Raw genomic sequence first — 20726 nt, 5'->3', positions numbered from 1 at the left:
ACATTAGAAAAATTATGGTGTTAAAAGAAACACTTATTCTCTAATTCTGTCCATTGGGGAAAAAACTTCTATACACAAGGATCAATCCAGTAGTGAGTCTTCTCTAGAGTCCAGACTGAGGTCACTAAATAAAATGTTCCTCTAAAAACAATCATGAAACCTTAGAGAAATGTCTGATTGTAGTTTAAGACAAGGATTGTGCAAGCTAAGCATGGAAGCAATAGATGCCTGGGCTGTATCAAAACACCTTGGGCCACCTCATAGAAATGTGACAATCTGAGCACCATTACAACCAGTTATTGCAGGCAAGGGACCATGGCTCATGCTGTAATCCCAGCGCTTTGGGAGGCCGAGGCGGGGGGATCCCTTGAGGTCAGGAGTTCAGGACCAGCCTGGACACACGGTGAAACGCCCTCTCTACTAAAAATATAAAAGTTAGCAGGGCATGGTGGCACGTGCCTGTAATCCCAGCTACTTGGGAGGCCAAGGCAGGAGAATCGTTTGAACCCGGGAGGCCAAGGTTGCAGTGAGCCAAAATTGTGCCACTGCACTCCAGCTTGGGCGACAGAGCAAGACTCAAAAACAAACAAACAAACAACAGCAACAATAACTGCAATAGACTGAAACTAAAACACCTCAAATAGCTCCATAATATAAGTCCTTGGGAGAATGCTGGATGATTAAGATATTGTTTTGCAAAGTGATAAATAAGGTTAAAAGCATTTATTCTATCTTTTCTATATGTACTGCACTACAGGATAAATGCAGTAACTTTATCAATAAATAGTTGATGAGGGAAGTTTATCTTCATAAAGCATGCCAGCTAATAAATGAAAAAGAAATGAGAGAATCAGAACATCACCTTTCTGCAGCCCTTAAAGGAAACACATCTAAACCATGACCATCAGCAGCTGCTAATGTTAGAAAGAGGAATGCTCAGCTATTACATGGTTCTAATATTCTATGTATGAACTATATTATATATGAAGTTTGCCACAAACAAAACAAAAAACAAAGCAGAATCTGATTGGCCTTCTAGAGCTAACAACCAATTTATAAGAAATTGATCTAACAACCAATTTATAAGAAGGGGTCAGGCCGGGCATTGTGGCTCACGCCTGTAATCCCAGCACTTTGGGAGGCTGAGGCGGGTGCATCACTTGAGGTCAGGAGTTTGAGACCAACCTGGCCAACACGGTGAAACCTCAGCCCTACTAAAAATACAAAAATTAGCCAGGCATGGTGGCACGTGCCTGTAATCCCAGCTACTGGGGAGGCTGAGGCAGCAGAATAGCTTAAACCCGGGAGGGAGTGGTTGCAGTGAGCTGAGATTGTGCCACTGCACTCCAGCCTGGGTGACAGAGCAAGACTCCATCTCAAAAAAAAAAAAAAAAAAGAAAGAAAAAAGAAATATAAGGGACAGAATAATACATTAAATGATACCAAGGGAATGCAACCAACAAAATGTGGCCTGTGCAATCTCCACAGGACTAACATCACGGTTTCTTCAAAAAATGAGCTCAATGGAAAAAGGAAAGAAGGGAGAGAAAGGAACCTCTGTTTCTTAAGAGAATTAAGAGACATATTTTGCTCCTGATTCCTTCAAATAAACTATACTTTAAAAAACATTCCAGGCAAGAAACTTAAGACAGTCTGGTAAGGAGATCAGACTGTGTTAATAAAATATTTATAGTTTAGGAAAAAGGTGAAGAGTAGAGCTGGTTTTGAGTCCTGCTTCACACGTGTTAACCTTGGAGAAGTTATTCAACCTCTCTGAATCTCCGTTTCTCAATCTTTAAAGGGGATAGGCCGGGCACGGTGGCTCACACCTGTAATCCCAGCACTTTGGAAGGCCGAGGCGGGCAGATCACAAGGTCAGGAGATCGAGACCATCCTGGCTAACATGGTGAAACCCCGTCTCTACTAAAAGTACAAAAAATTAGCTGGGCGTGGTGGGGGGTGCCTGTAGTCCCAGCTACTCAGGAGGCTGAGGCAGGAGAATGGCATGAACCTGGGAGGCAGAGCTTGCAGTGAGCTGAGATCGCGCCACTGCACTCCAGCCTGGGCGACAGAGCGAGACTCCGTCTCAAATAAATTAAAAAAATAAATAAATAAATAAACAAATAAAATAAAAGGGATAAGTATGGCTACCTACAGGATTTCAGGGAGGATTAAACCACACAAAAATAGGTGGGAACATTATGGAAACATTATGTCAAGTCTATGATGTGTCCCATGATTAAATGGCAACATAAATATATTCCAGAACAAATGTTCTAAATGAAGAATTTTAACAGAGGCCTTGGGGATCTAAAACGCATCTTTCTTGGGATGTGTAGTCACAACTTCCTTTCATGTTCCTGAAACGAAACATCATTGGCTGCCTCTAAAAATGTTTCTATAGAAAAAGAGGTCTGAGGTTTCTACACTTCCCACTGACACACTGACAGGACGGGCTCACCTGTATCACAAACTTTATGCAGCAAGCATTTATCTTCTTCATTCCAGCTATCCAAGTATTCATCCGGGCCACAGGGCAGACATACACTGTCAGAGGTAGTAGTGCATTTAGAAGACATGTACTTTCCTTAAAAAAATGAGGGAGAAAAATGCAACCATCAAAAAACCAAACAAAAACAGCAACACAAAGCAAAACAGCAACAAAAATTGCACCCATCTATGGGACCAATAATCATTGGTGCCCATGATCCCAGGACACCCCCCAAAGACAATATGACACAGGAGAAGAGGCCACAATGCAGTGACTGCAGCACCCTGGGCTCCTCAGGCCACGCAGCTGGCTGAAATAACCCCACCTGGGTCCGCTGAGCCTGTGGTCACAGCAGTCTCTTAATTCTTCTAAGTAAAAAGCCAACCACCCTCTGCACCCAAAAAGTCTGCTAAGGAATAGAATGATGGGCCAGGCACGGTGGCTCACACCTGTAATCCCAGCAGTTTGGGAGGCGGAGACGGGCGGATCACCTGAGGCCAGAAATTTGAGACTAGCCTGGCCAAATGGTGAAATCTCGTCTCTACTAAAGATACAAAAATCAGCCAGGCGTGGTGGCAGGTGACTGTAGTCCCAGCTACTTGGGAGGCTGAGGCAGGAGAATTGCTGCCTCAACCTCTGGGAGATGGAGGTTGCAGTGACCTGAAATCATGCCACTGCACTCCAGCCTGGGCAACAGAGCAAGACCCCATCTCAAAAAGAAAAAAAGAAAAAAAAAAAAAAGGAATAGAATGATGATTTTAAACTGGGCCGCAGAACTTGAAAGATTCCCTGGAACCCACTCAGGGAATAAGAGGGGTAGGCAAGAGGAACTTCATCACCCATCCCCTCTCCCCTCTGCCTTCCATCTGGATAGGCAACTTCTTGTTAACTTCTTTTTGTTAACTTCCTCTACACTTACTACCGGCTCATGGTTAGCTTCGTTTGACCAAGTGTCACGCTGCGCCCCACCCGCCTATCCAACACACACTTGACCATTACTGGATCTTGGTTCTGCACATCCAATAAATAATTGTAGCTGAAATATCCAAAATATCTTGTTATAAGGTAACCCACCTTCCCCTCCCCAGAATGATGAGAGAGTGCGGGCCCCGTGGACTGTGGCTTTCACTGGGGCTGCAGAAATAGTCAGCCACACTTCTGGCAGAACAACTTGGGGCAGGTGGTAGCCAGTCCACCTTCTGCTCCTCAACAGGTATATGGAAAAAGGTACGACAAGGGTTTAGGCAATTTTTAGCAGCAACAATTCCAGTGTGGTTATTCCAAAATAAAATTTCTGTGAAAACAATTTTAAGTAAGAGCTGCATTTCACATTTGAGAGTTTGAGTCATAAAGTGCTAAAATATTAGTTTTTAAAAACTTCTTGCCATCTCGAGAAATAGTGTTTTGGAAAATTGTGTTTCAGCCCAAATTAAGCAACAGTTTTTAAAGTTGTTTTTGTTTTTTTCTAAGGGATTTTAAAATCCCTTCAAATCTCTATTGAGAGAAAGATTTTTGTCTTCAGAGTGACAGACATTACCACCTGCCACTACCATAACGCGTCTATCCAATTTCTTTTTTTCATCTGGCAGACAGAAAAAATAATGAAAGCCTCACCCACTTTTGAGGGGCAATGCAAGGTGGCTCAGAAGCAGGTGTACCTGGTTCACATTTGTTACAGCACCGTCCCAGATGCTCATAATGCTTCTCACTGGTACATGGAGGAGCGATCTGCAAAGCCACCTGAAAAGAACACTGAGGTCAGGCAGAGAGTCCACACAGCTCTTTCTGGATAAAACTAGGTAAAACAAAAAGGGAATCACCAAATTACTTTTTTTTTTTTTTTTTTTTTGAATGGAGTTTCGCTCTTGTTGCCCAGGCTGGAGTGCAATGGCGTGATCTCAGTTCACCGCAACCTCTACCTCCCAGGCTCAAGCGATTCTCCTACTTTAGCCTCCTGAGTAGCTGGGATTACAGGGTTTTTTTTTGTTTTTTTGTTTTTTTTTTTAGACAGAGTCTTGCTCTATTGCCCAGGCTGGAGTGCAATGGCGCAACCTCACCTCACTGCAACCTCTGCTTTCTGGTTTCAGGCGATTCTCCTGCCTCAGCCTCCCAAGTAGCTGGGACTATAGCCACGCACCACCTAATTTTTGTATTTTTAGTAGAGACGGGGTTTCACCATGTTGGCCAGGCTGGCCTTGAACTCCTGACCTCAGGTGATCCACCCGCCTCGGCCTCCCAAAGTGCTGGGATTACAAGCCTGAGCCACCACGCCCGGCCTGCTTACCTTTTAACTTGTTAAACACACAGAGAATTTTAAAAAGCGGGGAAAGCAAGGTGTTGTAGGGGCTTCCTGGGCTCTGCCCTCACTACCTGTTGCCTGAAGGACTGCAGGAGCTGTTTAAGCTTCCTCAGCCTCTGGTTCCCTTCTGGTTCAAAACGGTATGATTCTAAGACAAATACCAATTTCTGAATCTGCCCATCTGAGTAAAACAAAAGAAAACAGAGCAGCCCAGGCATCTATAATCACCCAGAGATTCTTATCAGTTTGCCACAGAAAAGTTCTTTTCCTGATCAGCATTCTTGGTGTGAGCAAAAAACAACACACACTCCTGTTGACAAGCAGTCATGTCAGAAACTGAAGAACTGGGCTTAGCCGAACAGACATCCACGTATGCACACCACACTTGCGATTCATGCAAGTTCCCTGCTGTGTCGTCGAATACAGAGTCACAAACCTTCCCCTCAAGGGTCTTAGAGTGGAATGAAACACATACCAGATGGGCCCTACCTCAGCAGTAGTAGGAAGGAAGCAGAAGCAGCCAGGATGGCTTCCTGAGGGAGGTGGTAAGTAATCAGCCTTCCAGGATAAATAGAAATCAGCCAGACCAGGAAACAGAAACTGGCAGGTGGAGGTAGTGGGAGGAAGTAGGAAGACTTTGGACAATATGAGCAGTTCAAACAGGGGCAATGAGGCCTGAAACAGCTCTTGGGAGGCAGTAAGAGACCTTCAGTCCAGCTGGAGCCCAGTGTCACAAAGGCAGTCAGGGGAGGGCTTCATCTGCATATGAAAGTGCTCGGATGGAGGGCGCAGAGATAATATGGCTTGGAAAAAGCCATGCATCCTCAAAATAGCTCCATTATAGAAGGCAGCTTTATAAAGAAAGCACCAAACCCAGGAAAGCCCAGGCTAGCTGAGTGGGTGTGGGGCACACAGCCATCACGGACCTTTCTGACCTCACCCTGGCCAGCAAAGGGGTTATGAGGAGGCTGAGGTCGATGAGAAGGTCCCAGTGTGTTATTGAGGTGATGTGTGACAGGAAGGTTGTACTTGGACTTGCTTCCTGGGCCCTGCTAACACTCCCCGTGGACACCGGGTAACACACATCAGATGCTCCCCATGTATTCACTGGGTGACAGAGTCTTAGGGAAGCTGCATTGAGCCCAGCGGACTGAGGAAGAATTGCTTAAAAGAAGCCACCACACCTCTCCCTTCTGAGATGCTTTTCTCTGTTTTAGATGCCACCCTTCTCTGTCTCCCTCTGTGTGTAATGTACATGCACAGAAGAAAGAGGCAAAGTGGTAAAACTACATGCGGCCATGCAAACTGGGTCAAAAAGCTGGATTCATCCGAGCCTAAGGATTCATGAGCATTGTTGCAATGCTGATGACAAGGCAAACAGGATAAATATGAAGTTGGACTGTATTTCAGATGACAAAGGGTATTAATTGCTTCTGATCCCCTAAGGGGGCAGCCACAGACTCAGTAAAATGAGCACATACTTTGTGTTCTACACACAGAAAGGTACTTTTTAGGGGAATTTGGTAAATGGGATATCCCTGAAGTAGCTGCTTAGGGGCACTGTCAGATGTCACAAGCTGTGTCCTGGGCTCCAAGCCCTGGTGCCTGTTGAGTATATCTGACCTGAACATGTAGACAATTCACTCCATGTTTAGGAGTATGGCTGCGATTCATTCAACCCACCTATCCTCCAACTCAGGAGCTTTACACCTCTTCGAAGAAACAAGGAAGTCACTGCTTCCAGAAATGACCAGCTGTCCTAACTTTTAATTGATTGTCACAGATATAAAATCCATTTCTCTCTCCTAAGCTTCTACCTCACTATGACTTTTCACCTGAATGTGCCTCTTGCCCTCCCACCCCTGCCCAAAAACTGAGGTATAAAATTCACGGACCATAAAATTAAACCTTTTAAAGTATACCTACCGTTCAGTGGTTTTTAGCACTTTGGCAAGGTTGAACAACCATCGCGGCTATCTAATTCCTGAACATTTTCATCACCCCAAAACTGACATGTCTACTTGACAGAGTTATAGGATTACAGATCTTTTAAGCAGCAGCAGAAATTTTGCTGCTGGGAAAATTGCTATGGTGAGGCAGAAAATTATGCTTTTAATCTCATTTAGGGTCCAGCTTAAGCAGAAACCTACTTTGTTCTCTAGTTACATGATATACTTTGAAGTATACCTTCAAACCTTCAACATGGCAATATACATACAACTTAAAATGCAACATAAGTACATATTTTTAAGTAAATGTGGTTTGCAAGTAAATAAAGGAAATCTGGAAAACTCTTTAGGTTGTTGGTGCATGCCAAAGACAAAGCATGCCTTTATTGCCCCTTTTCCTCTTCCTTTCTGGCTCTCTGCTTCCAGTGTTCTTTCCCTCCACTTGCAGACCCTTTTCCTCCCCACACAGCCCGTAAAGCGTGCCCTGTGCTGGTCTCATTCTAATCTCATGCCTCAGTTCCAGCAACAAATCGCCTGGTGAGCGCTGTGCACTGCAGCCCCATGCTTGTAACTCTTAGGAAATCCAGTGCTTCTGTCACTCCAGCCTGTCTTGCTTTGCCAGGTACCTGAGGATTGACCGACTTGTCCCCTTGACGCTGCAGGCCAGACTGGCTCTCTCCTTGCTCCTGATCCCCAGACTCTGTCTTGAGTCCCACATGCTTGGGCTCAGTTTCCCGTTAGACTGCCCTGGATCTGTTTCCTTATACCAGTCTCCCTCTGCCTGCACGGCCTGTCAGGTTCATCCTCTGGGTGTCATTTTTTTGTGTGCATGAATGAACGGCTGTCCCTGCCCCTCCCAGTCTGACCTCTCATTTTGCCTACAGTATTCTGGTTCTGATGTCTACCATTTCACCATTAACTGCCCTGCCAGCCAGCAGCTGGCAAGAGCCTGAAGATGGCTCCAGATCCCCTTGGCAGTAGCCCTCTAGGCTTCTGCCTTTCCCTTTCACCTGCCTAGAACTTCAGTCAGACTCTATCCTCCAAGACCAAGCTCCCCAGGGTTGCAAAGTGGTAGCTATTATTATCGGTAGCAGCCCTAGTAAAGCAATCATTTGATAAAAACATGTTCCTGCTTAAGTGTTCTTAAGGAATCTCCCAGGGAATGGGGAAATTTGGGCATAAGGCCCCAGATCTTCAGTTAATAGAGTGATTTTGTCAGCCACTTACAGTTGCCTCTTTTTCCCTAAGATGCAGCAAGGAAAAGCCTTTGATGACTGAGTTGAGATGTACAGGCTTTTATTTACTGAGATTTTTCTAGTTCACCTTTAAGACTGATAGAGTCAAAGCTTTGGAATCGCAGTTGTCTTCATGAAGCAAATAAAGCAGAAATACTTTTAAATTTTTATTTATTGAATAGGGAATACAGTCCCATGAGACAAAATTCAAAACGAACAATAGCTTGCTTAGGAAACTCTGTCCCAGTCTCTCCCAGTCACTCTTCTGCACAGGTAACCCATGTTACCGGCCATCTTTTGGGGTGCATTCTTCTGGAGGTGAAAGGAGAATGAACTTGTGATCTAATCGAGGGCCTATTCTACATCACAGCCGCCTTGGAGGCTGGCTGGGATCAGGTTGCTCTTGTGTTTTGGGGAATATAATTTGACTTCTTAGAGGTCTTGTTTAGAAAAGCAGCCATGGATTGATAGAGTATAGTTCTTAATCAATAAGCTGAAAATATTCTCTTTGGTCCACAGAATCTATATCAACTAACCTGTATTCTGACAGAACTCACTGGAATTAATAAGGAACATTAGTCTGTTCATAGCAAATATTCTCTGCACATACAAATTCCCCCTACAAATTCCTTGCTAAGTCTAAAAAAAGGAGTTAAAACAGCAAGATGATTTGACTTCTCTTGCTTCGCTTTCTTGTGTCTTTTTGTGTCTTCTACGCATTTGTTTCAGGGCATACAGGCTGGTGTTTATCTTAACGGCTGATGGACTCTTCTAGAATAACCATGTCCACAGTCTGTGCAAGGCTTTCGGAGGGCGGGGGAGATAATAAATTTGAAATTAAAAAATCCCTTTATAAAGCAATGTGGATTTATTTCCCTACGCAAAGCCATGTTGAGTCTAATTCTGAAAAACCATAAGCTGAAGAAACATAACATTTCTGCCAGTGGAGCCACAGAGACGAGCAGATCTGTATTTAGAATCCTGCAGGGAAGGTTGACTTAAATATTTATTTTCCATGCTGTTAACCCAATTGTAGTGCAAGTCATTATGGATACTAAAATTACTTTCTTGCTCCACTGAAAATTCATGCTGACATCGAACGATGTAGAAAGAGGCTTGGCCCCTCTTGTCAAATCGAGACGAAAAGAACGTAACCTAGAAGAACAAATGAGGGATTTTCCATAGATTTTGTTTTATAAAATATCATCCTTGACTATATTTCAGAATTTGGCTATAACTTCAGTAAGGATGGTATCAAATTTCTGAATCTTACAGTAGAGTCGAAAGATGTGGTTTTTCTTAAGAGAGAAACGATTAAATGTGAAAACAACACTTCACTTAACAGCCCTGCTGTCCTGGAAAAAAATATCTTTAAAGAAAGTCACTATCGAAACTGATCCTACCCAGAACAGAATACAAATAAATTACTAGCAACCTGTGTACCCAAAACACTAAAAGAGCTTCTTTAAATAAGACAATCTTACCCTAAGGAATTATTTCTCTTTGAAGCACTTTGTTTTAGAAGTAAATAAACAACAAACATATAAAAGGTAGAATTAATACATCAGAGTAACCTACAAACAAATGCTCTTGGTTCTTGTCCATTTCTTTGAATGTCTTTTTTCTCAGCCACCTGGGCTGACAGGCCGGCGAGAAGGTCTCAGTTTCTCCCGGTCACAAGTGTTTCCATTAATGAGTCAAAATATAGACCCTTTGAATTCAGATGTTCTGGGCTATCATTCCTGGTCTGCCCCTTCCTTAGCTGCTTTCTCCAGCTAAATTTATCTCTATTTTATCCAGCTTTCTATTCTGGATCATGGCACAGTCCTGTGCCTGTGAATGTGAGGAAAACGTCCCACCATGGTGATTCGCAGCAAAACATTCATAACCAGGAGTGGAAATGATGCAGGAATCACGTGAGGCCCAGACACCAGATAGGGCAGATTCCTATTCAAAAAAATTAAATGACAAAGAAAGTCTGACATGACAGAATATAGGATTTTTTTTTTTTTTTTTTTTTTTTGAGACAGAATCTCACTCTGTCACCCAGGCTGGAGTGCAGTGGCATGATCATAGCTCACTGCAGCCTTGACCTCCCAGGCTCAAGAGATTCTCCCACCTCAGCCTCCCGAGTAGCTGGGACCACAGGTGCCCACCACCATGCCGGGCTAATTTTTGTATTTTTTGGTAGACACGGGGTTTCACCATGTTGCCCAGGCTGGTCTTGAACCCCTGAGCTCAAGAGATTTGCCCACCTCAGCCTCCCAAAGTGCTGGGATTACAGGCGTGAGACACCACACCCAGTCTGCACATGGGAATTTTAGCAAAGCAGAAGTAAGGGCCAGGAGAACTCAGGTTGGAGGAGGGGACAAGGTACCTTGAGCGCTGGTGACAAGAGTATGAAGTAGCCTGGCCAGGCAGTCCCCAAGAACTGAGTTGGGCTTCAGGGAAGGAGGATTTTTCTACCCAGGGCAGTCCTCGAAACTGGGCTTCCAGTTTGACCCGGAGAGAAGAATGCCTGATATTTCTTTAATAAAACTGACTACATTTCTAAAATCTCAGGACCAAAAAAAAAAAAAAAAAAAAAAGCCATTCTCAGCCTGAGTCTCCTCACCTGTACAATAGTGCTAATTAATAACTGTGCCTATCCTGCTGCACTGAGAGGCAGACGTGAGAACTCCTATACATGATGTGGCACTGGCAAACGGCCAGACTGCACAAACACAAAGGTTCTGCCTCCTCAATTCAAAGCTGAAGACCTTTCTAGTAGGCTGCTGGGAGAAATGGAGATGTGATTGTATCACACCCCACTGCAGTGGTCTGTATCCAATAGAGGAGGGATATTCACGGGCACAGCTGAGTGGAATTAGTAAAAGTATATGTAACTTCCATCCAGTCATTCCCTGAGGGGAGAGAGGGAAAAGGGTGTCACTAGAAAGGGGAAAAATGATGGAAAAGATAAACTGGGTACCCAGAGACAAGTTCTCAAGGCCTGACAATCTTCCCGCACAAACCATCCTTGTGCACTTTTAACCTGATTATGACAAACCAAAGCTGCATAGCAGAGTATTTTAGCAGGACAACTAGGAAAAAATGCATGCGTTAAAAAGCATGTTTGATTTCACATAAAGAAGTCCTTTATCACGGGATTGGAAACTTGAGGCATCAATGTGAAATTGGCGATGAGTGGTCCGAGTCATTTCAGTGCTTTTCTGTCTGGGGGTTCAGTCAGTTCCACGAGCCACACTTGGGTGAAGGCAGACACAGTTTACTCAGTCCGTCTGCTGATAAAGCTGCTGCCAGATTATATCTGTGATTTCTGTTAACTAGGACATAAACGAATTATGATCGAATATCCTAGACATTCTCATTTTAAATAAGCTCGGCAGATAGAATTTCAATCTTACAGATTCACAGAGAAAATATCAGGCATGTTTCTTTTGTACAAACCAGAGCTTCACATTTCAAGCTTCAGAACAACATCGCATAGGCGCCTACCAAGATGGTGTGTTATAAGAGACCGTGAGGATAAAGGGGCAGTGTTTTAGGATCCCCTGCTCACCTTGCTGGATCACGTGGCACACCCCATGGGTGTGTTCACCCTACCTGGGAAACCTGTCAATCATGTAACACATTAAAAACTTGGAGGTCCTAAGTTATACCAGTCAGGTACATGGCCTAAGTCACAACAGAGGTAGATACAGAGAATCACAGGGTTTAACAGAAAATGCCCTGAGTGTTTAAAATATAATTCATTTCTAAGAAATATATTTTACACATAGCTCTTGAAAAAAAAATTCTGCTGCCAAAAGTTAGGCTCATACATTTTGTGATTTGTACAATATGAAAATATGTGTCTAGTTTATTGGAGAAGATCATGAAGAAACTATAACTGTCACAAACAATATTATAATTGATTAAAAAAAAAAAAGCTTAGCACAGTGACTCACGCCTGTAACCCCAGCATTTGGGGAGGCAGAAGTGGGAGGACTGCTTGAGCTCAGGAGTTTGAGACCCTGTCTCTATAAAACTTTAAAAATTATCCAAGTGTGGTAGCGTGTGCCTGTGGACCCAGCTATTCAGGAGGTTGAGGCAGGAGGATCGCTTGAGCCTAGGAGGTTGAGGCTGCAGTGAGCAGTGATTGCACCACTGCACTCCAGCCTGGGTGACAGAGTGAGACCCTGTTTCAAAGAAAACCCAAAACGAATGATAAAGGATTTGGGACTCTTTTCTGATACAGAGTCTCATTCTGTCACCTAGGCTAGAGTGCAGTGGTGTGATCACTGCTCACTGTAGCCTCGACCTCCTGGGTTCAAGCAATCTTCCCATACTCAAGTGATCCTCCTGGGCTCATGCCATCTTCCCATGCCAGCCCCTGAGTAGCTGGGACTACAAGGCCTAGGGATTTGGGACATTCTAAAATGCATTCTATGAATGTCTATCTAGTGATAAAAAGTATTCAAAACTCCAACTTAAAAGCACTCATCACAGCTGGTCAGCTTCTACTGGTCTCACTGAAAATTACAAATAACGAATCAGTCCTCTCCCCACACACATACTGTTCCCCGCAAAGAGGCTGTTGAGTTCATTTAATCACCGGGTAAGAGCGAGTCTGAGTCATTCACCTTTGCCTGAGTCACTCGCCTTTATCTCGAAAAATGATTTTTCTCCAGAAGATAGAGTTTGATGTAGTCAGAGTTTAACAGGAGGAAGTATCAATCTCTTTACGAAGTTCTGCTGTCATCACACTGTCAAAGGCATCTTCACTGAGCTCTCTCCCATACCTGCATGAGGTCCTGGCTTGCTGTAGGACTGAAGGCAGGACCTGTCTCTGCCCTCTCACAGCTTTTGTAAAGGAGGACACAGCCACATATAGAGAGGAAGGAAAACTGTGACCAGTCAGAGCCCCACACAGCAGTGCCAGAACTAATGCATTGGAAAGATCCTCCCTGATCGTGGACGAGGAAGGAGAATTGCAACCCTGGCCTCAGACTGGTGTCCACGTCTTCCTTGGCTTTGAATGGGCAGGGAAACAGACAGAGATAGGGAAGGACTTACAAGAGGAAGTGCACAAGCTGGGGAGGGTGAGGTTGCGGGGCAGAGACAGAAGGATTCGAGAGGAGGGAGAGGACAGAGCAAATGGGAGACTCGGGCAGGTGCAGGCGGAGAGCCTGGGGGGCTGGGCAGGTATGTTCTGACAGTAGAAGGAAAAGGTGGGGGCTGCTTCGGGGCTTCCAGGAAAGGGCAGCTAGTCAGTGAGTTGTAGAAGGAAGGGAGGGTCTTTTTTTAGCAGCACCATGAAACATATTGTAAAGACTGTTGGGATGAGAAAGCGCAAGAAGGTGCAAACTCGTTTTAGACAAGAACAGAGCCTGGGCTAGGATCTCATGGAGGAAACAGAGATGGAGACGAAAAGTGCAGGCAGGAGCCGACAGCAAAGTGGCAACTCTGGATGGCAAAATCTGCAGGAGGCCAGGAATGCAGCTCATTTCGGGAGGCGAGAAAGGGCTGTCTCCCACTGCCAAACACTGAATTAGGCTCTTTTTATGCCTGTCCTTTGAATGCCTTTTTAAAAAAACTTTGGGGCCATTTAATATTTTTTATTGTGGAAAATAGATACAAAATTTGCCATTTTAACCATTTTAAAGTATGATTCAGGGGCAATAAGTAGCAACGATTGCCACTATCTATTTCCAGAACATTCTCATCACCCCAAATAGAATCTCTGTAACCGTTAACTAGTAACTCCCCATTCCCCCTCCCTCAAGCTCCTGGAAACCACCTTTCTACTGTCTGTCTCTGAGTCTGACCACTCTCTATACCTCATGTAAGTGGAACCACACAGTATTTTTCCCTTTGTGTCTGGCGAATTTTGCTTAGCATAATGTCTCCAAGGTTCATCCATATTGTATTATGTACCAGAACGCCATTCCTTTTTATGGCTGGATAATATTCCACCACATGTATAGACCATATCTTGTTTATCCATTCATCCACTGATGGACACCTAGGTTGTTTCTACCTTTTGGCTACAGTGAATAATCCTGCAATGAACACTGGCACACAAGTATCTGAATCCCTGTTTTCAGTTCTTTTTGGTCTATACCTAGGAATCCTAAGTTAATTCTATGTTTAGCTCTTCGAGGCACCCACCCCTCAACTGTTTTCCGCAGGGGTGGCATCATTGCACATTCCCAGCAGCACTGCATGAGGGTTCCAACTTCTCCACATCTTCAACAACACATGTTATTTTCTGGTTTTGTTTGGTTTTTGGTTTTTAAAATAATAGCCATCCTGATGTGTGTGAGGTAGTATCTCCTTGTGGTTCCAGTTTGCATTTTCCTAATGACTAATGAGGTGGAGCATCTTTTCTTGTGCTTATTGGCCACCTGTGTATCTTCCTTGAAGAAATGTCTATTCAAGTCCTTTGTCCGTTTTCATAGGGTAATTTAATTTTGCCTAGTTCTGTTCACAGGATTTGATTTAGCTGCTGACAACACTGACTGAATTCACAACCTGAAAGTCGACCAATCAGATACACATTCATTTATTTCCCAATTAAGTGAACACATACTATGCGCCAGGGACAATTTCAGATCCTCTGGATACAGTGGATAGAACTCAACCGAGAGAGTCCTGGCTTACAGTCCAGGGGAGAAGAACAACTATAAGTAAACAGATAAGGAAATCTGGTCGCAACAATTGTCATGAAAAAAGTGAAACAATCTATGTAAGGTGGTGGTATGATTACAGGAAGCCTCTTTGAGAAGATGACATTTGAGTGGAGTCCTGCTTAAAGCCAGGGAACAAGCCAAATGTACAGCACGTGCCAGGAGGAGGATTACAGGTGGACATATTTGCCAAGGCCCTTGGAGGAAGCATGCACGGCTTGACGGAGAAACAGCAAGATAGCCCGTGTGACTAAGTGCAGTGTGAGGTGGGTAGGGTATAAGGTCACATAACTGATTACTAATTTATACGCATTGTGAGTTAATATACACCCATACCGTCAGAATTGTGTGGTATTGATCATATTGGACATTGCCATTACCCCATAAAGGTTTAAATACTAGGCACTTCATGCTATTTTCATTAGCAGGCAGGAATTACCACCTTTGCCACTAGATTTTTAAAACATATATTATTAATTGTGATAAAATACACATAACATAAAAATTTGCCATATTAACCATTTTGTCACAAGTTCTTTTTTTGGAATATATAGTATGCACAGAAAAAAAATCTAACTTAGGTCGGGTTTGATAAAAAACAAAAACTTAAAAATATAGGTAACTGTGATTAGAAGTCCTGACATATTCACCATTCTGATTTAGCAAACTGCACAATTGACTTTATACACCGTCTTGAAAGTTGCTTGTTATTGGGCCCATCAGCATTTCCCCCTCTGACCACCTTGATTCCAGATGTGCTTCTTAAAGGAAAGAAAGCGCACAGCACTGACTCAGGCGCCCATCAATGGTCTGTTGATTTTTACTCAGCCCTCTGCCTTACTCCCCTCACAATGCATTTATTATCTCTGCTCCTTGAAAAGAAAACATATGGCCCAAGGGAAAATGAAGAAACAAGCTTGCGTTTCAAAACTTTAATTGCAAGTGTCTTTGTCTTCCAGAGAGATAAGAGTGAAGAGTCTGCAGCCCTGGGCTACCTGGAATCCAAGGGCAAGGCCGGTTGTTTCCTCAATACAGTAATTAGGATGGCTTTGACTTGTCCTTATGTTACGATGCACCCCTATTTCCACAGGCTCCAGTGAATGCCCCTTTATTCTCCCAGTGTGAAAGCCTTTTTACATTGTCATTCTTGGGGTTTGTTTTTTTCTTTAACTTTGTATTCATTTCAGATAAGAACTGCTTTCTCTTCTTTTCCGTAGTAGAAGCCAACAAGCCCTGTGGTCACTTCTGAGAGTGCACCCCCGGCTGGAGGCCACGTCCCTCTAGGCTCTGCCTCCATGCTGGGGCTGCACGAACTGCTCAGGCCAGGAGTCCCCAAAGTGACGGAAGGAGGAAGCATTCCCCTTACCTGCTGCCCTCCCTTCCTTCACTGCCCAGCCTTCAGGGTGAAATCCAGTGCTTCTCCAATGTGCGCAGAATCACCTGAAAATTTTATTAAAATGCAGGTTCTGATTCCCTGGGTCTGGAACAGAGCCTGAGACTACATTCCTAACAAGCTCCCAGGCAAGGTCAATGCCGGTCTCTGAGGAGCAGGCTAGAGATTTTATTGAAAACCAAAAACCAGGACTTTCTCCTATTTCCAAACACTGCATAGTCATCTCTGACTGTACAATAGACATTGAGAACCACCTCTCCCATCCCTGGACACCTTTTATCTATTTATCTATTGATGAATGGGGGTATAGGAAGAATTGGCCCTAGTGAAATATCTACTACGTGCCAGGCACTGTGCTTGGAGGCCTGGCTTCCCTTCCCTTCCTGCATCCTCCCAAGAGAGATTAATCAACTTGCTGAGATGGCTGGTGATAAGGAGACTGGAACAGTGCTAGGCATGTAGCAAATATTCAAATACTTGATAAATTAATAAATAATTTTTCTCAAAGACCACTGTAACCTCATAACTTCCCTATACAGAAGACTGTAACAGTTTCCTTCTAGCACTGAATCAAATTCACACTCCCAAGCACGCCCTTGGAAAGACTCCACTGATTTGGGACAAAATCCGAGATACCCTGAGGGAAGAGGGTTGCAAAATCAAGATTAGCAATCTCTTTCTGGGCTGAAACTCTCTTTTCTAATAAGGACTGAACACGGGGCTGCCTAACAGGAGACACAGCTGTTTCAGCCTCTTTGTGCCCGTCACTCATGCCAGGAAATGGAGAGCCTCCCATGAGGCCTCTTCTGCGTGACCTCACCCCTTGGGTGCAGAGGGGCAGGTGCCCACCACCTTGAGTCCCCTTACCCATGAGGACTGCCCCACACAGTTAAGATGACTGGTTATGCCTTCTGGTGCTTGGTCTTTTGCAATTTTACATGGAAATTGGATCCCAGACCAGGCGTGGTGGCTCATGCCTGTGATCCCAGCACTTTGGGAGGCCAAGGCAGGTGGATCACCTGAGGTGAGGAGTTCGAAACTGGCCAATATGGTAAATCCCTGTCTCTACTAAAAATACAAAAAAAATTAGCCAAATGTGGTGTTAGGTACCTGTCATCCCAGCTACTTGGGAGGCTGAGGCAGGAGAATTGCTTGAACCCGAGAAGCGAGGTTCAGTGAGCTGAGATCGCGCCACTGCACTCCAGCCTGGGTAACAAAAAAAAAAAAAAAATTCCGACCCCAGTGGCTTGGTCACAGGGACCTCCAACTGGACCCAACTGGAGCACAGAAACTTCAGCCCATTAGAAAGGGGCAATTTTCCACTTTTAAACCTTGTGACCCACAGAAGTTAATAGGTTAAGGTTTAAGACAGAGGTTCCAGCTGTGTTTTCACTGAATTTAACTGCCCCCTTGATCTCACAGTCCATTGTCATAGGTTTTGGGGATCTGCTGCTAGATTTCTGGCCACTGTGCATTAGTGACACCATGTTGTCATTCTCCCCCTAAACCCCGCTAGTGTCTCCTGATCTCACTCCAAGTAAAAGCTTGAGACTGACCGTGACCCAGAGGCCATGTGTGTTCTGACCCTCTTTCTTATTTGAACTTTTCTCTTACTACTTAGAAAGTGTCTTTTAAGGGATCAAAAAAAGTTAGTAATAGAAAATGATTTTGATTTGTTCCATGGTAGAGACATGTCAAAAGAGGAGCCCAGGTTATTCTCATCAAGGGAAGAGTCCCCAGATTAGCTATAATTGTAGTAAGACTAAGACATAAAGGACCTTTAAAAATATAACTACCTACTTCCGAAAGCTTATGAGGGCAAAGGTTTAACCTATCACTGTCTGCTGCCCTGGGGCTCCAAGGCCATCCTTCTCCCTCCTCCCACCCTACACAGAGCCTGGCAGGTGGTGGGAGTGGGATGAACACGCGTGGAGAGATGCGACCCTCTGAGGCGGTACACCCAGGGCTACAGCACAGTGGTACGGTATAGTCTAACTCTGGGGTGTGGGGCATAGACGAGCCAGTGCTGCCTTGGCTTCAGGAAGTGGTGGTGATTCAAGACATACACTTCTTTTCCTCCTGAGTCAGGGATCAACTGGCACATGGACCCTGTGCCAAGAGTGCCTGGAGTGCCTTTTATCTGGATTAGCCTTAAAGACACAGCATTGCCATTTCTGCTTAAGAATAGTTCTAGAGGCCAGGCGCGGTGGCTCATGCCTGCAATCCCAGCACTTTGGGAGGCCGAGGCGGGCAGATCACTTGAGGTCAAGAGTTCAAGACCAGCCTGGCCAACATGTCGAAAACCCGTCTCTACTAAAAATACAAAAATTAGCCTGGCATGGTGACGAGCACCTGTAATCCCAGCTACTCGGGAGGCTGAGGCAGGGAGAATTGCTTGAATGGGGGAGGCGGAGGTTGCAGTGAGCCAAGATGGCACCACCGCATTCCAGCCTAGGCGACAGAGTGAGACTCCTTCTCAAAAAAAAAAAAGTTCTAGAAAGCCCTCAGTGAGTACATACTTGAGCAGACAAGACAGACCCCCACAAATGCAGACTGGGCACGCATTTGCATGGGTGTCCCCAAATACCAAAAAGCTTTCTGTCCCACCATTCTGGGAGGTCCCTTTCTCTACTCCCTACCCCATCACAGAGTTGACTATACAAGCAGTTTACCTGAGGGGTGAAGACCACAGTCACTGGAGCGCTGCCTGGTAGGAGCTCCAGCTCTGCCACTCACTAGCTGTGCAAACTCAGGCAAGTTAATCAGTCTCTCTGTGCCTCAGTTTTCTCAACTTACTAGCAAGGTGGAGTGAGCATTAGATATAATCCGTGTAAAGTACATGCCTGGCACACAGGAGGGGTTCAACAGATGGCCGGTACTTGTAATATATTAATCTTCTAATATTGTCAGAGCTGAGTGCAAACCTTTTCATGGAATCCCGGGGTCTCTAGCAGCTGTTCTCAAACTTGAGCATGTGTCAGAATCAGCGGAGAGGTTGTGAAGCCACAGACTGCTGGCCCCCACCCCCAGAGTTTCTGATTCGGTAGGTGGGGGGCATAAGAAGGTGCATTTCTAACGAGTTCCCGGGGGAGACTGATGCTGGGCCCAGACCCCACAGTTGGAGAACCCCTGGCTTCAGGGCAGAGTCCCAGTTCTGGAGGTTTATTCGCAAGCCCTTTGTGATCCAGGCCTCCAGGACTTTCCCAGCTGGCTTTATCCTTCCCCGGTACCTGTCATCAGTCCTGGGCTCCACACATCAGGGCGGGACATGATTTTCTCATGCCTGTCACCACCTCTGCCCTTCTCCCTCCAGCTCTCTTTTCCTCTCAGAATCACACCCATCCTTCCAGGACCAGATCAAACACCCCCTGCCCGATTCTCCACTCGGAACTCATCCTTCCCATGCCTGTGTCCTAGAGGCATCTCATGTGTTCCTCCTGTGGGGCTCCGTGGGAACGAAGAATGGGACATCCGACCTTCCCCATCAGATCTCAGCCTCTCTGAAGTCAGAGGCAGCAACGTCCTGAGTCTGATGTTCCCAAAATACTTGGTGGGTTTTGTTTGGTTTGGGGTTGTTGGCTTTTTTGCCAGTAAATCCAAAAAAAGTATCTCGTTGAATTGAAAAGAAAAAAAAAAGTTTACAAAGAGGTTAAAGGAACTGGAATGAATAACCCTGGGGAAGGGGAAGTTGTGGGCTAACAATCTTCAACAATAGAAATATTAAAATAAAGAAGACATTGACCAACTGGTTTTTACCCCATTAAAGAACAAATTTGAGGAAATGGGGTCAAATTGTGACATGTTAGATTTAGGTCTGTTAGAGGGAAGTTCCTGATATTAGGAATTATTCAACAAGGAAACGGGTTAGCAAGGGCAGAAGTGAATAATCTCGACTAAGCTTTAAAAATGGAATTGATTCTCAATTACCATGAAAGTGTTAGATGTGATCCTGCTTGTATATCTGACTATGAAGTTGAGAGAAGACAGGGGCCTTTAAACGTCTCTTTTACTGGCTATGAACTTGCCAGCTGTTTGTGCTACTACGTGATACACTATTAAGTTAGGTGCTAACTGCATTAGGTAAGTAATACATATTTTTAAAAAGTCAATACTTTAGGGAAGTGGTCCATTTCCCATCTGTGGGATGTGATGCGAACCCCAAACCAGCCAACACAGTGGTGCCAGTAGGATTTCTGGCAATGCCACACAATCTTTCCCCATTGCCCAGCTTAGCCATCACATTCACCAAGAGCTAAACAGAGTTTTTCTTCCTCATTTTTCATGGAAAGTCTTCAAATTTCTGATAGCTTGAGGAAGTGGCTCTTGTACTCTCAACACTCTCAACAGGAAATGTAATAAGTTATTATTACTTTGATGAACTAAAAGGGTGGTTTTTACAGTCAGGTCTTCCTGATACTTGGAAATCTGGCAGCTCTGTCCCTTTGCTGGTGCCAGACGGGCCTCCGTGTCACCTGCTGGGTCAGGATTTTTTGGGGGTATGGGGAAGTCTAAGAGGCACTGGACACAGAGGAAGGGAAACGCTCATCTTAGGCAGCGGCAATGTGCCAGGAAAATGTGTATCATGCAAGCAAACAGTTTTTGCGCAGCTCTTGGTCCAACATAAACACTGCTTCTTTTGGGGTTAGGTGACATATTTGAGGCCAGTGTGGGAAGACCACAGGTCAGGT

General features: G+C 44.7%; 1 protein-coding gene across 10 annotated transcripts in view; it reads right to left on the bottom strand.

Annotated features, from left to right (window-relative positions):
* Nucleotides 1–20726, bottom strand: part of TNFRSF11A (TNF receptor superfamily member 11a) — a 65979-nt gene that overhangs the window by 38890 nt on the left and 6363 nt on the right. For 6 of the 10 annotated variants that reach the window (XM_011526244.3, NM_003839.4, NM_001270949.2 and 3 more), the window contains exons 2-3: nucleotides 4150–4231; nucleotides 2462–2587 (exon numbers count right to left, since the gene is read on the bottom strand). In XM_011526244.3, coding sequence (XP_011524546.1) covers nucleotides 2462–2587; nucleotides 4150–4231 — 208 coding nt within the window. Of the gene's footprint in view, nucleotides 1–2461; nucleotides 2588–3565; nucleotides 3691–4149; nucleotides 4232–16011; nucleotides 16525–20726 lie in introns of those variants that run through there. The other 4 variants (XM_017026065.2, XM_017026066.2, XM_011526245.3 and 1 more) reach the window with 3 other exon arrangements.

Source organism: Homo sapiens, chromosome 18, assembly GCF_000001405.40.
Source record: "Homo sapiens chromosome 18, GRCh38.p14 Primary Assembly".
Taxonomy (NCBI): Eukaryota; Metazoa; Chordata; class Mammalia; order Primates; family Hominidae; genus Homo; species Homo sapiens.
Note: the sequence above shows the minus strand (reverse complement) of the source record. Positions and strands in the feature narration are given on the sequence as shown.